The following is a 12,089-nucleotide window of genomic DNA, read 5'->3' on the forward strand; positions in this document are numbered from 1 at the left end:
TTGTCAGTAAAACTATGCCTGCCTACGCACTCTTCTATTTCTGATTTAAAAATAGGTTCAGCTGCCTAACAATTACACATACTCTATTTTGCACGCGCACATTACTTAAGGAGACATTTAGAGGGTAGATAGCTTTTATTCCTATGAGTTATCTTGAAATCATCTTCTTAACTATCTTTTTTTCCCCAAAGGGGCCATATTTTGAAGGATTTGTGATGAGACTTTTGGTCTGTGAAGCCCAAGACACAATCTCCAACATGCACAGGAAATCCAGTATCAAATTTCTAACATGTCTTCAGAGACAGGCCCAGGGCTGGCTTGAGCGTGTCAGAGAGGTGTGCACTGCGTACTACCCATCATACATGGCCACACATGCCTGTGGCTGTGAGAAATACTGGTGGTGACAAAGACAATGAGATGCCAGAGAAAAAGATCAGTGGGGTTTGCAAAAGTGATTAAGATGTCGTCCTAGGTATAATTAAAGACTTAATAAGGTTGAAGGAAAGAGAGGACATTGCACATACCGAGGCCCCTGAGAGATCTGCCTGGCAACCCAGAAAGGGACATATGGGGGAAAACGCCTTAGTGTAACCAGGTCAGAATTTTCATTCTGGGCAGAACTGGAATTTGAATAATAATACTGAGTCATATAGCGCATACAGCTATGACATTTCATTTATTTCTCTATATAATGCAATAAAGTAGATGGATTAACCGTGACGTTTACAGATGGAGCAGGGGAGAATGAAGAGGCGTCAGTTTGGGCATCAGGCTGGATCTTCACACTCTGACCTCACTCTGCTCTATCCTGCCCAGTGTTGCTTCACCTGATATCAGGGGTGCAAGGCAACCAGATCTGACACCAGTTTCAGTTTAGATCCTGCCTTTACCTGGGTGTGACCCGGGTCCATCTCTTCAGCTCGGCCTCTGCTTTCTCTTCATAAACTTTTGGGGTTAGTCCTCGGATGATCTCTAAAACATGGCCCAGGTGCTCCTTGCCAGTAGAGTGTAGCCGGATTTGGAGGGACTGGACACTCAGTGTGAACAAGACGAAGGCCTCAGGAGGCAGTAAAAGCTGACAAGAGGAGAGAAAATGAAGCGCCTACGGGTGCATACTGGACTAGCGGGCGAAAGGCCATGACTCCTTAGTTTGGAGAAAGAACTGGGGCCGAGATTGGGGAAGTTTCCCAGTGCAATTAAAAAAAAAAAAAAAAAGAACTAGAAGAATTACCCAGGTCTGGCTTCTTTCGTGTAGCCTGGGGCTGAGTCGCAGGCTGAGAAATCCAGTCTGGCCAGTAGGGGGCTCCACCAAGCGCAGTCTCAGAATGCCCAAGAGCTCCACCGTCGCCCGGGGTCTCCACCAAGCGCAGTCTCAGAATGCCCAAGAGCCCCACCGTCGCCCGGGGTCTCCAAGAGGAGTGGGTCGTGGTGGGCGTTGAAGGGCCGTAAAAGACGAGCAGCCCGCGTCCGCGTCCGTCCTCCCGGGTCTCCAGTCCGCAGGCGGCCGCCGCCTCGGCCCCGCCCTCCCACCTCCATTCCCGGCCCCGCGGACCCGAACGGTCCCTCTCGCAACCGATCTGCTGGCTGGGGCGCTGGGGATGCGAATTCCTAGAAGCCTTAAGAGGCTGCCCAGCGTTGGAAGTTCGTATCCCCAAGAATGCTGGAGGTTCCGGCTCACACACCCCCTCCGGGCACAGAGTCAGCTGGGGGGTGCTGGGAGGGAGAACGCCCCGCTCCTCACCCCCCATCCCCGTGCACCCTGGAGCCCAGCTCCATACGTTCGGCCACCCCAGGCGGACTCGGGGTGGCCGGGTAGCGGGTGGTGGCAGGAGGGGACCGGGTAACGGCAGGCCCGAGAGGAGGTCGCTGGGCCGGGCCGGAGGCGCACAGGGGCTGCGTGGCTACCTCGGCGGCACCCGCCCCACCTCCGCCGGCTAAGCCCGGAGGGGGACGGTGAGTCAGATCTCGGGCACCCGCGGGTCGGGCGGGGAGGGGGAGGCAGGTCAGGAAATGACATCAGAGGCCTGTGCTCAGGGAGTGGGGGTCTGAGCCGGGCTGGGGCGGCGGGGGCGGCAGTGAGTGGGGTGGGGGCGAGCGGACCTCGGCGGAGCCTCCGGCCTGAGGCAGGATCAGGGCCCCTTCCTGGGGGAGTTTCCTGCCTGGTCCGCCCTTCCCCGCTCTCCCCGCCCCCTCTCCGGGCCGCTCCTTGTATGGTCTGGGCGCCGCTCTCTCCCCGCCCCCTCTCTTCTCCCTCCCTCCTCCTTCCGTGTGTCCCTCCCCGCCCGGCTGGAGGCTGCTCCGGACCGGGACGCAGAGTCTGCGGACCCGGCGCCGAGGCGGCCACCCGAGACGCGGCGCGCACGCTCCGGCCTGCGGTGAGGCGCGGGGAGCGGCAGGGCGGCCCCACGGGGAGGGGGCGCGGGGCGCCGGGAGGGGGCGAGTGGGGGTCACCAAGGGGAGCTGGGACCGCCTGGGGCTCCTGAGCCCGGCTCCGCGCTGCGTAACCCGGCGACCCACCCCAGCAGCCCGGCCCGGCCATGGCGGCCCCCCGCCCGTCTCCCGCGATCTCCGTTTCGGTCTCGGCTCCGGCTTTTTACGCCCCGCAGAAGAAGTTCGGCCCTGTGGTGGCCCCAAAGCCCAAAGTGAATCCCTTCCGGCCCGGGGACAGCGAGCCTCCCCCGGCACCCGGGGCCCAGCGCGCACAGATGGGCCGGGTGGGCGAGATTCCCCCGCCGCCCCCGGAAGGTATGCGGCGGGGCTTGGGGAATGTACCCCGGCAGGAGCCGGGGTGGGGGGCAGTCGTTTCGGGAATTTGGGGATGTCTGGAAAGGTTGTTGCCGAGGGGGCTGGGCGCAGCCACCCTGTCCCGAGCAGATGTTCTTACCTCATCGTGGAGCTCGTGGCTGGGAGCCAGGGCTCCTGGGACCGTTCCAAGTCCCCCGCCTGGGAGTGGGAGTCGGGAATGTGGGGCACGAATCTTCCCCTCCGGGTCCGTTTTCCGAAGTGTAACGGGAGCTGCACCACTCCTCGGCAGTGCGCCCGGCCTTTCCTGACCTGGTACTCCCAGGGCGCCCTGCGCCCCTCCTTTGCTTCCCCACACGCTCTGGGACCCCTGAGAGAGTTCTTGGGTTAGGGGTTAGAGCGGTTAACTGAGGGGAGCTTGGGTGAGGGGTAGAGGGACCCCGGCCGACGTCTTTCTCCTTCCTACCCCAGACTTTCCCCTGCCTCCACCTCCCCTTGCTGGGGATGGCGACGATGCAGAGGGTGCTCTGGGAGGTGCCTTCCCGCCGCCCCCTCCCCCGATCGAGGAATCATTTCCCCCTGCGCCTCTGGAGGAGGAGATCTTCCCTTCCCCGCCGCCTCCTCCGGAGGAGGAGGGAGGGCCTGAGGCCCCCATACCGCCCCCACCACAGGTACGGAGGCCTGGGAGGGGCGGCTGCACTGGACACCCCCAAGGAGAGGAGAAGAGGGCCCTTTCTTCTTACCTCCCCTGCACCTCTGCCTTGGGGGTGGGGGGATAGAGGCATGGAATAGGTGCTCTGACCTCTGACCCTCTAGCCCAGGGAGAAGGTGAGCAGTATTGATTTGGAGATCGACTCTCTGTCCTCACTGCTGGATGACATGACCAAGAATGATCCTTTCAAAGCCCGGGTAAGGGACCGGAGAGTAGGAAAAGCAGGGCTCAGGGCCAGAGAGACTGGGCATAGAACTAAGGAGGATGGTGTCCTCCTGACTGCATCTCTCTTCCCTCTCCCACCCCTTGCAGGTGTCATCTGGATATGTGCCCCCACCAGTGGCCACTCCATTCAGTTCCAAGTCCAGTACCAAGCCTGCAGCCGGGGGCACAGCACCCCTGCCTCCTTGGAAGTCCCCTTCCAGCTCCCAGCCTCTGCCCCAGGTTCCGGCTCCGGCTCAGAGCCAGACACAGTTCCATGTTCAGCCCCAGCCCCAGCCCAAGCCTCAGGTCCAACTCCATGTCCAGTCCCAGACCCAGCCTGTGTCTTTGGCTAACACCCAGCCCCGAGGGCCCCCAGCCTCATCTCCGGCTCCAGCCCCTAAGTTTTCTCCAGTGACTCCTAAGTTTACTCCTGTGGCTTCCAAGTTCAGTCCTGGAGCCCCAGGTGGATCTGGGTCACAACCAAATCAAAAATTGGGGCACCCCGAAGCTCTTTCTGCTGGCACAGGCTCCCCTCAACCTCCCAGCTTCACCTATGCCCAGCAGAGGGAGAAGCCCCGAGTGCAGGAGAAGCAGCACCCCGTGCCCCCACCGGCTCAGAACCAAAACCAGGTGAGGGATGGTGATAGGACAAGGCTTGGTACCAGGGCACTGGGGCGGGGCTGGGTCAGGAGCCAGAGCATAAGCATAAGGTGATTGGAGAGTCAGGGTGGACACGGGGGTTGCGGGGTGGCGGGATAGGAATTTTCATCCTCTGGGGTTAGCCTGGTGGAACAATGGTAGGAAAATGCTCCTCTGGAGGAGAGGCCTGGCTGGGTGTGGGGCTGGGTGGGGCCTGGCTGGGACGGCGCAGAGAGCATGGGCTCTGAATTAGGAGGATCTGGTGGACCTTTCCTTGTGCCTTTACCCCAGAAAGTTAAAGGGAGGGATGAGATCACCAGTTCCACCTTGGTTTTTCCCATTCTTGGGTCTTGAGTTAATCTCCCTGCTCCTCTGAGCACTCTTTCTGCCTGAGGGCTTGGAGGTAAGAGACAGCCCCAGTAAACACTGGTTGAGCCAGCATCCACCACGTGCCAGGCACTGTGCTCTGTGCCCAGGAGGGTAGGACATGGGAGGGAAGAGATCTCTGCAAGAAGCTCAGCCTTCAGGTGTCAGATGGACCTGGAATGGAATTCTTGGCTCAGCTTCTCCCAAGTCCTTAGACTGGGCAAGTTAGGTGAACCCTGAGCCTCAGTTTCTCAATCTTTAACATTCTCTACTCCATACAGTGGTTGTGAAGATTGGGTGAGCTAATACCTAGAGAGTGTTGGGTTCTGTATCTAGTACAGGAATGCTCAAAATAGAAAAGCTGTAATTACAAAATGGTTCTTGCCTTCTAGTTCAGGAAATAAGATCGTCCAATTTCTGGTGACGAAGATGACCCTGATGGTCATCTAGTCCAAGCATCCAGAGTCCACTGATAGTGTTGATGTCTACCTACACTCGGACACAGCATAGGAAGAAATGCCAAGGGCCAGTGAGCTTTGCAGAATCCTGTGAGTCACAGGCACTCAGACCAGGGAGTCAACTCGGGGAGTCAAATTAGGAAAGGCTTCGAAGGATGGGCAGGACGTAAGAATCCAGAGAGGAGAGGGATGTTTGGAGAACAGAAAGTGGAAGGTTCCTGTAGGAAAATGATAGAGCTATACTTGGAGAGGCAAGCGGGGCTGGAGGGTGTAGGAGGTGAAGTGGCTCACCCAAGGAGCTCTTGAGCACTGGAGAGGCATTCATGATTTTTGAGTAGGTGTGGGGTGGGTCAGGAGGGCTGGTGAAAGCAGTGTTTTTGGAAGCTTTCTGGAAAGTTTCACCAGCAGAGATGTGTATTCGAGGGAGGTCAGTGATGGGTGTGAATTCACTCTTGGGCAATAGTAATGTTAGCTGCAATGAAAATTAAACCGTGCATGTGAGAGCTGTGTGCTAGAGCTGTTGGGAAGGCACAGCCTCCAGGACTTAGCAAGGGATGAGCAATTGGAAGACAAGGGTGAGGGGAAGAGGGAAAAAAAAGTCTCCAGCACGATTTGGAGATGGGGTGTGGGCGGATGGCAGGATTGCTGACAAAATAGAGAAGTCCAGAAGGGGAAATGGTTTGGACGGGAAGAGGAGGGGTCCAGCTGTCAACGTTTTGAGCAACAGGTCCCAGGAGGACTTTCAGCTGGGGCCGTCATTCAGCTAGAAATCCAGGGCTAGGTTTCAGGAGAGGGCCAGAGATGTCTAGCATGGTAGTGGGGCACAGTGACACTGTGACGCTGGAGGGTCAGGGTCGGAGCGGAGGAGCTTCCCAGGGAGTGCAGACAGCGGGGACCAGGAGGTGCGGGAAGAAGAGTCAGGAGGAGAGTCAGGGTGCACTTGGAGAAGAGAGCTGAGCTCCTCAGTGGGGTATTTGAGGGAGTGAGGACTCAAGGCTAGAGATTAGACTGTTGGGAAATCATCAGCGGTCTTGGGATGGCCTGTTTGTGCCCTGTGGTGGGAACACAATGTGAGGAGTTGAGGAGAGAGTGGGTGGTGAGAAGTGGGGCTGCTGGTGTAGCCTGGTCTTAAAGGACTAAGGGAAGGACTGTGTGTCAGTGGTGTGTGTGTGTGTATATATACACATATGTGAATATATGAGTGGCGTGTGTGTGTGTGTTAGTGTGTGGGTGTGGGTATGGTGTATGTGAGTGTATGTGCATGTGTGAGCATGAATGTATGAGTGGCGTGTGATGTGTGTAGTGTGATTGTGTGAAAGTATGTGTATATGAGTACATGTGTGCATGTGTGAGTGAAGGTGTGTGCATGTGTGAGTGTGGCTGTGATGTGTATGGTGTGTGATTGCACAAGTGAAGGTGCACATACATACTTTCTTACAAATACACACAAGTGGCGTATGTGTATATATGTGAGTGGTGTGTGTGAGCGTGTGGTGTGGTATATCTTTTTTTTTTTTTTTTTTTTTTTTTTGGAGACGGAGTGCAGGCTGTCGCCCATGCTTACTACAACCTCCGCCCCCCTGGCTCAAACGATTCTCCTGTCTCAGCCTCCCAAGTAGCTGGGATTACAGGCACGTTCCACCACACCTGGCTAATTTTTGTATTTTTTAGTAGAGATGGGGTTTCACCATGTTGGCTAGGCTGGTCTCGAACTCCTGACCTCAAGTGATCTGCCTGCCTCAGCCTCCCAAAGTGTTGGGATTACAGGTGTGAGCCACCGCGCCTGGCCTGGTGTGGTATTATCTGAATGTGAGTGGTGTGTGTGTGTGTGGTATGGTATATGTGTGAGTGTGTGTGTGTGGTGTGGTATATGTGTGAGTGTATGTGAGTGGTGTATGTGTGTGGTCTGGTATGTGTGTGTGCATGTGAGTGGTATGTGGGTATGTGTGAGGGTGTGTGTGTTTGAGTCTGTGGTGTAGCATATGTGGTTTTTGCAAGTTAGGGGAGAAGGGCTCAGGTACGTGTGTAACCCGGGGAAGCAGGTGATGGAGGGTGAGTGTTGTGGGAGAGCAGGGGCAGGCTGCTTCGGTCCCTGGAGGAGATCTTGGTGATGTCTCCTCCCCCAGAGGCATACCAGACAGCAAGGACAGAGTGGTTGCAGCGTGGATAGGAAGGACGATGAGGGAGCTTAAGCTGGCTGGCTTCCATGTCCTCAACCATGTGGGAGGTGAGGTCACGGTGCGAGCAAAGGGACGAAGCAGGTGGGGGCTCAGGAGATGGAGAGGTCTGGAACGGCTGCTGTGGGGAAGGCTGGGCTGGAGGTCGCGCGGGTGCTGCAGTGTTGTGAGCTCACGCTGCAGTGTTCAGTGATCTCTCCACTGCTTTCTGCAGCTTGGAAGCAGAAACAGGAAGAGGGTGGTGGTGTGACTTGGGGTTGGAGACTGGGCCGGATAGCTGCGGGTGGCTGCAGGTGCCCGGAGGGACAGTGAACCCTGTAGGAGTTAGATGGTCATGGGACCAGGCTGGGGCATGGTGGACAAAGTCCAGGGGTGGGTTGCGGGTGGGGGCAACTAAGGCTTTTCTGGGTTCATGTAGTAGGTGTGGATGGGGAAGAGGAGAGGCAGATAATGGCTGGCAAGAGACTTGGAGGTAAATCTGAGGTCAAGGATGTCCCATGATGGATGATGACTGAGATGGACGGAAGTTTGGTTTGAAGCGGTGGCATTGGTGCAGGCTGGCAGAGGGGGCAGTTCTGGATAGAGTGTCCTGATGAATGGGGATACCCATGGGAGGTGATGCAGATGAGGATTCTGTGCTTCTGAAGGAGGAGCCAGGCATTTAGAATGGCACTGGAGAGCAAGGACTGACTGAGCCCCTTCACTGTGTCCCCAAGAGGCCAGGAAGGGAAGATTGGAGGAGACAAAGTTGAAGTGAGTGTTCCAGGGAACGAGTCAGTTAAGAGATGGTAGGATCTTAAGGGAAGATGGCTAAGATCTTAAGGGAAAATGGCTAAGATCTGGAGAGTTGGACTTATATGGACGCATGCTTCACTGGGCAGAAAGGACGCAACTCTGGGTACAGATGGGGGTCGGGGTGAGGGGCAGTGAAGCCAGGGCTGAGGGGAGAGGGGCTATGGGAGGAGGTAGCAGGGGGGCTTTGGAGGTTCCAGGTGTTATGGGAATGAAGGCATCTGCAGGTAGCACACTCAGTGATGGGGCCACAGTCCTGGGTAGGCTTTTCCAGACATAGAAAAGACCCACCCAGTGCACTTGCTCCTGTGGGCGTGTCTCCCGGCAGTGCTGATGCAGGTCAGACAGCCCTTCCCGGAGTTCTCAGGGTTACCTCTCAGGGTTACTGGCAGCGCTGTCCTTAACATCCACCCCCCACTCCAGTCCCCGGGATCCCCTAAATGGGAAGGTTGGGCTGGCCTAGGGGGTGGCCTTTGGACCTTCTCTGAGGCTGCTGGGGAGGGACCTGAGTGAGGTAGTTCAGAGGCCCCTCACTCGAGGGACAGGGTCTCTGTGTGGGGGTGGGGCTGGGTTCTTGCAGACAGCTCAGTGGGTTTAACCTGCAATTCCTGCCTGTGTTGTATCCTCACGCTGACAGGGGCTGCTCAGCAGCAGGCAGGCCGGGTAGGTGTGTGTGCGCGTGTGTGCACGCCATTGCGTGCCCCTGTCCCATGGGGGCGATGTCCGAGCATGCTCTGTGGAGTTGATGCGTGGCCCTGGAGTGTCCGGTGCTTCAGTGACCCGAGCTGCTGTGTGCGTGGCCTCCGTCCGCCCAGTCATTCTGGCCTGTCTGTGACTGCTCAGGGGGTTTGGGCAGAGTGGGTGGAAATGTCTTGCTGTACGAGATCCAGGCTTAGGTCCCTTCCCCTGTTATTTGTGTGGTGCTGGGGATGGCGGGGGTAGGGGGACGAGGGAGAAGCTTTAAGGGTCAAGCCTGAGCATCTGGGACACGAGCTGGGAGCTAAGCCTCATCGGAAGAAGCCGGGTAGGCTGGCCTGGGAAGGTTCTTGGAGGCAGCAGCCCTCTAGAGTGTGAGGAAAATGTTGGGATTGCAGGTGCGCTCCCCTGGGGCCCCAGGGCCCCTGACTCTGAAGGAGGTGGAGGAGCTGGAGCAGCTGACCCAGCAGCTAATGCAGGACATGGAGCATCCTCAGAGGCAGAATGTGGCTGTCAACGGTGAGCCCACCCCACCGGGACACCCCCACCCTGCCCCCACATCACGGTGGGGGCCAGGGCTGTGGCTCCACTCCCTATCTGAGCTGGCTGATCCCTCGCAGCTCTACATACTTCCTTCTATTTACTGCTGTCTTCTCTGGCCTTCCCAGAACTCTGCGGCCGATGCCATCAACCCCTGGCCCGGGCGCAGCCAGCCGTCCGCGCTCTAGGGCAGCTGTTCCACATCGCCTGCTTCACCTGCCACCAGTGTGCGCAGCAGCTCCAGGGCCAGCAGTTCTACAGTCTGGAGGGGGCGCCGTACTGCGAGGGCTGTTACACTGTGAGTCGGGCTGTGCTGGGCTGTGCTGGGCTGTGCTGGGCAGTCGGGCCCTGGAAGCTTGCTGTGGGGTGCCGGTTCCCTGCCAACCTCCTCCTGCTGCCTCCTCAGGACACCCTGGAGAAGTGTAACACCTGCGGGGAGCCCATCACTGACCGCATGCTGAGGGCCACGGGCAAGGCCTATCACCCGCACTGCTTCACCTGTGTGGTCTGCGCCCGCCCCCTGGAGGGCACCTCCTTCATCGTGGACCAGGCCAACCGGCCCCACTGTGTCCCCGACTACCACAAGTGAGGACCTGCCACCTGCCTTCTGGGTTCCCGGCGTGCTTGGTCTGGTAGCCCGGCTGCTTGCTACCCTAGCCTCAGGACAGCCCCAAACCCCTGGTGGTGTTTTCTGGTCCCATGTCCTGTCTGTAAACAGCAGGGACCAAGTCATCGGGATGTAGCTGTCCAGGGGCCTTAGGCCTGGGCATCGAGTCCTGCTGCTGTCTGGTCCCTCCCTCGCCCTTGATCACTGAAGCTTATTGTGGGTGTATGTCAGCATTTCGTGAAGTGTGCTGGAGTGACTTCATCTCACACACAGGCTGGGTTCTAAAAGTTCTTTTGGAGATCAGCTGTTTGGATTTCTGGTTTCTCCCCAGAAATAGTGTTTAGAAGGTGGCTACTTTTTCAGGCTGACCCGCAGAACCTCAGTGCAGCTGTGGGAACAGTGCAGAATCTGACCCCCACCTCTGACAGAGTGTTTGGGTAAACACTTTCAGGATTCCATCTGGGGTGGCCACAACTTCACATCCCTCCACAGTGCCAGACAGTCAGGGCAGAGGCAACGTGCATGGGGGTGGGAGGATTGGGGGAAGGTGAGGGTCAGGGACCCAGGATGGGATGGGAGGGGTACCTCAGGGCTGGCTTTCTGCAGGAGCTGCAGTGTGAATGGGACAGTAAGGGTCGAGTGGGAGAGAACACCGTGGCAGGTGTGTGGGAGGCTCCCTTGCTTTGGGAGAGTGACTGGTGAGGCAGGAAATTCCCTTTGATGAGGGCCAGTCATGGTGTCTCACTCTTAGGCCCTTCTGGTGAGCTTCCTTCACCTGGAGATGCAGGGCAGAGAAGTCTGCTTCCTTGCTGCCCAACCTGGCTTATGCGTGCGCACACCGGGGATGAAAGCCCTGGCTAACTCGGCTGGCCCTTTCTGCCCCTTCCAGGCAGTACGCCCCGAGGTGCTCCGTCTGCTCTGAGCCCATCATGCCTGAGCCTGGCCGAGATGAGACTGTGCGAGTGGTCGCCCTGGACAAGAACTTCCACATGAAGTGTTACAAGTGTGAGGTCAGCCATCCCTCTGGACTCCTTGGGCAGGTTCTGACCAGGAGGTGGCGGGAGATGCTGCTTACTAACTGGGAGGTGGAAAGCACCAGCATTCAGGAAACAGGGCTGTGATTTTGAGGGTGGCTCATGGTGGCACCCCATCTGTCCTGCCAGAATGCTTCCTGCCACTGCAGGAAATGGGGCTGTGGGGCTTCTGAGGTCACTTTGAGTCATGGATAAGCCAAGAAATGGGACAAGCCAATAGGAGAGAAGAAGGGCATGGTGTTTTACCGTGGTAGGGGATGGGGAAACAGGAGCTGAGAGAAGAGGTCTTCGAATGGAGGTGAGCCAACCTCTATTTTATTAGGGTGGTGGTGGGCAGGGGAGCAAGCACCTTGGGAGCAGCTCTACCCACTGCTTGCCCTCTTGCAGGAAGGTCCTAGTGGGTGACTGGAAGTAGGATAGGGATGGGGAGTTGGGTGTGGCTGGAAAAAGCGATGACACCAGCTCTGAGCCATGAAGCATCTTTCTAATTCCAAGATGGAGCTGGATGGGGTGGGGTAGGGTGGAGCAGAGCAGGGGCCTTCCGGTCCAGTGCCCCTCACCCTTCCTTCTTCCCAGGACTGCGGGAAGCCCCTGTCGATTGAGGCAGATGACAATGGCTGCTTCCCCCTGGACGGTCACGTGCTCTGTCGGAAGTGCCACACTGCTAGAGCCCAGACCTGAGTGAGGACAGGCCCTCTTCAGACCGCAGTCCATGCCCCATTGTGGACCACCCACACTGAGACCACCTGCCCCCACCTCAGTTATTGTTTTGATGTCTAGCCCCTCCCATTTCCAACCCCTCCCTAGCATCCCAGGTGCCCTGACCCAGGACCCAACATGGTCTAGGGATGCAGGATCCCCGCCCTGGGGTCTGGTCCTCGCCCATCCTGCAGGGATTGCCCACCGTCTTCCAGACACCCCACCTGAGGGGGGCACCAGGTTTAGTGCTGCTGCTTTCACTGCTGCACCCGCGCCCTCGGCCGGCCCCCCGAGCAGCCTTTGTACTCTGCTTGCGGAGGGCTGGGAGACCCTCCAGGACATTCCCACCCTCCCCCATGCTGCCAAGTTGTAGCTATAGCTACAAATAAAAAAAAACCTTGTTTTCCAGAATTCTCAGTAGTC

The 12,089-nt window shown here is 57.7% G+C and overlaps 2 protein-coding genes, 1 long non-coding RNA gene and 1 other non-coding gene across 8 annotated transcripts in view, besides 6 other annotated features; 2 read left to right on the top strand and 2 right to left on the bottom strand.

Moving 5' to 3' along the window:
• The window catches only part of FAM131B (family with sequence similarity 131 member B), a 28,905-nt gene extending 25,635 nt beyond the window's left edge, over positions 1-3,270 (bottom strand). The window contains exon 1 of the mRNA NM_001371250.1: positions 2,885-3,270. The gene's annotated coding sequence lies outside the window, so the exon portion shown is untranslated. The remainder of the gene's footprint in view (positions 1-2,884) is intronic.
• FAM131B-AS2 (FAM131B antisense RNA 2) lies at positions 121-1,991 on the bottom strand. Its single transcript, NR_161353.1, has 2 exons — positions 1,232-1,991; positions 121-1,075 (listed from the first exon to the last, which is right to left on the bottom strand). It is a non-coding gene; the product is annotated as an FAM131B antisense RNA 2 (long non-coding RNA).
• Positions 871-950: an enhancer, noted in NCBI's record as "active region_26792". NCBI's record gives its function as "activates an Ori minimal core promoter by ATAC-STARR-seq in GM12878 lymphoblastoid cells {active_cell/tissue: GM12878}" and the evidence as "EXISTENCE:reporter gene assay evidence [ECO:0000049][PMID:35858748]".
• Positions 1,107-2,007: an enhancer, noted in NCBI's record as "NANOG-H3K27ac-H3K4me1 hESC enhancer chr7:143077234-143078134 (GRCh37/hg19 assembly coordinates)". NCBI's record gives its function as "activates a minimal SCP1, AML or CMV promoter by ChIP-STARR-seq in primed H9 embryonic stem cells {active_cell/tissue: H9 hESC(primed)}" and the evidence as "EXISTENCE:reporter gene assay evidence [ECO:0000049][PMID:30033119]".
• Positions 1,107-2,750: a biological region, named in NCBI's record as "NANOG-H3K27ac-H3K4me1 hESC enhancer GRCh37_chr7:143077234-143078134".
• Positions 1,131-1,220: an enhancer, noted in NCBI's record as "active region_26793". NCBI's record gives its function as "activates an Ori minimal core promoter by ATAC-STARR-seq in GM12878 lymphoblastoid cells {active_cell/tissue: GM12878}" and the evidence as "EXISTENCE:reporter gene assay evidence [ECO:0000049][PMID:35858748]".
• Positions 1,721-2,750: a silencer, noted in NCBI's record as "silent region_18723". NCBI's record gives its function as "represses an Ori minimal core promoter by ATAC-STARR-seq in GM12878 lymphoblastoid cells {active_cell/tissue: GM12878}" and the evidence as "EXISTENCE:reporter gene assay evidence [ECO:0000049][PMID:35858748]".
• ZYX (zyxin) lies at positions 2,311-12,077 on the top strand. 5 transcript variants are annotated; one of them, NM_003461.5, is made up of 10 exons: positions 2,311-2,375; positions 2,523-2,745; positions 3,214-3,413; positions 3,559-3,651; positions 3,767-4,288; positions 9,185-9,305; positions 9,455-9,624; positions 9,733-9,911; positions 10,823-10,943; positions 11,544-12,077. In NM_003461.5, the coding sequence occupies exons 2-10, from the start codon at positions 2,538-2,540 to the stop codon at positions 11,646-11,648; spliced, it is 1,719 nt and encodes a 572-aa protein (NP_003452.1). In that variant the 5' UTR covers positions 2,311-2,375; positions 2,523-2,537; the 3' UTR covers positions 11,649-12,077. The 5 variants fall into 5 exon arrangements, with proteins under 5 accessions (NP_003452.1, NP_001010972.1, NP_001349712.1 ...); NM_001010972.2 differs by having other exon boundaries at positions 2,526-2,745; NM_001362783.2 differs by lacking the exon at positions 3,559-3,651.
• Positions 2,781-2,830: a silencer, noted in NCBI's record as "silent region_18724". NCBI's record gives its function as "represses an Ori minimal core promoter by ATAC-STARR-seq in GM12878 lymphoblastoid cells {active_cell/tissue: GM12878}" and the evidence as "EXISTENCE:reporter gene assay evidence [ECO:0000049][PMID:35858748]".
• Positions 3,652-3,766, top strand: MIR6892 (microRNA 6892). Its single transcript, NR_106952.1, has one exon. It is a non-coding gene; the product is annotated as a microRNA 6892 (primary transcript).
• Positions 12,078-12,089: the final 12 nt, after the last annotated feature.

The sequence above is a fragment of the Homo sapiens genome, chromosome 7 (genome assembly GCF_000001405.40).
Source record: "Homo sapiens chromosome 7, GRCh38.p14 Primary Assembly".
NCBI classification, from domain to species: Eukaryota; Metazoa; Chordata; class Mammalia; order Primates; family Hominidae; genus Homo; species Homo sapiens.